The 1,668-nt window shown below is 54.6% G+C and overlaps 1 annotated feature.

Annotated features, from left to right (window-relative positions):
• Positions 503–1,379: an enhancer, noted in NCBI's record as "H3K4me1 hESC enhancer chr15:70505448-70506324 (GRCh37/hg19 assembly coordinates)". NCBI's record gives its function as "activates a minimal SCP1, AML or CMV promoter by ChIP-STARR-seq in naive H9 embryonic stem cells {active_cell/tissue: H9 hESC(naive)}" and the evidence as "EXISTENCE:reporter gene assay evidence [ECO:0000049][PMID:30033119]".

The raw sequence follows: 1,668 nt of genomic DNA, 5'->3' as shown, positions 1-1,668 counted from the left end.
CCCAGGACCTTGGCTTCACTTAGCAATGACCCTGGGTCCCTACTGGCTGTCCCTTGGGCTCTCCCAGCTCATGTGGCCTGACTTAGACCCCACATATGGGACCCACCATTCCAGGTCCTGGCTCAGCCCTTGGCTGGAAGCCAAGTTCCCGGTGTGTGAGGTCTCTGCTGTGTGAACTTTACAAGTCATGTACCGTATTAAGACATCTGAGGGCTCTAGAAGAATAAACCCACACCTTCTCTGGAAAAGGGATGATAAACCTAGAGGGTGTCAGTAACCTAGGAACTGCAGAGACAGGATTAGGGGAGCAACCGACATTTAGGAGCTGCTACCTGTTGGCCCTGAAATCAATTCCCGCTGCAGCCAGCCTGGGGCCAAGCTCTGGAGAAAGGGAGTCGGGAGGGGCCTAGAGTGGGGCCTTCAGCCAAAGTCATCCAACCACACCCATGACACACAGACTGTGTGTTAGGCCTCCATGGAGCAGGGAGGTTAACACAAGACACAGGGGACCTGGCCTCTATCCTCAGGAGATGTCTGGGAAGGATGGAAGGGCCCTGGGGCTGGAGCTTGCTATGGAAGCCCCTGTGTCCACAGCCTCTAAAGGGAGACTGAAGAAGCGGCAATCTCAGCTGACTCACGGCTGTCAGAGCTGAGGGGCAGTTCGTACCTGCTTCAGCCCGCCCAGTAGCCAACTCCAAGGAGGGAGGTGGGGACCTGGATGTGCAGTGGGGGATGCACAGGGACCTTCAACCCCACCCGGAAAGGGGAGGAAAAAAGCCGAGACAGGCTGGAGCAGATAAGGCTGAATGTGAATGCTCAGGGAATCTGGGTGGTAGGGTGGGGCTGCCAGTGATGTTCCTGGTTGTATTCTATTTACTTTCTCTGGATTTTACCATTTAAAACAGAATCTAGTTCAATGAGCAACAGGGGAACCAAGATGGGATGTGGCCGGGGGCTTTGGTCACACAGGGGCAAGCTGGTGCTTCATTCCAGACCTCTCTGACCCCAAGCCACGCACACCCCAGCACTTTGGCCTCTTCTTCTCTACAGCAGGGACCGTCACCCACCCTACAGACTCCAAGTCATTATGATGGTCTTTAAGGTGATGCCCACAGAATCACACCTTATGGACTGTCTCCTACCCTCTGTGTCAGCAAGAAAGCTTGCTTGAGCAAATATAAGATAGTGGGGCTTACGAAAACAGCAAGAATGAACAGCAGGTGCCTCACAGCTGAGAAACACCAGCCGGCCAGGGAGCCTGGTCTCCAGCAAGGGTCCTGCTCGTGTGTCAGCGCCTCCCGCACCTTGCCTGCAGGACCGACCCGGAGATGGATGCCTTTAGAAATCCTTTCTCCCGGGCCCCTCCCACCTCTTCTTTTACATTCGTTTGCATATTTGGCTCTTTGCACCTAGAATCCTCTGTTATCTCCAAAGTCAGAGAGCATCCATTGTCCTCGCCAAGGGAAATCCCCAGATCCACCTCCTCTCCCTCCCCTGGCTCAGGGCCCTTTCCTGTCACCCCTGTAATCTTCAGAATCCAAACTGTCTTTGCATATTTTGTGTCTTCCTCTCCAAATCTGACTGCTCCTGCCATCTAAGTCTAGCTCCCACCCCTGCAGCGCCATCCCTGAGCTCTCTGACATGCGGGTCTCCTGCCCATCCTCAACC

This window comes from Homo sapiens, chromosome 15 (genome assembly GCF_000001405.40).
Source record: "Homo sapiens chromosome 15, GRCh38.p14 Primary Assembly".
Taxonomy (NCBI): Eukaryota; Metazoa; Chordata; class Mammalia; order Primates; family Hominidae; genus Homo; species Homo sapiens.
Note: the sequence above shows the minus strand (reverse complement) of the source record. Positions and strands in the feature narration are given on the sequence as shown.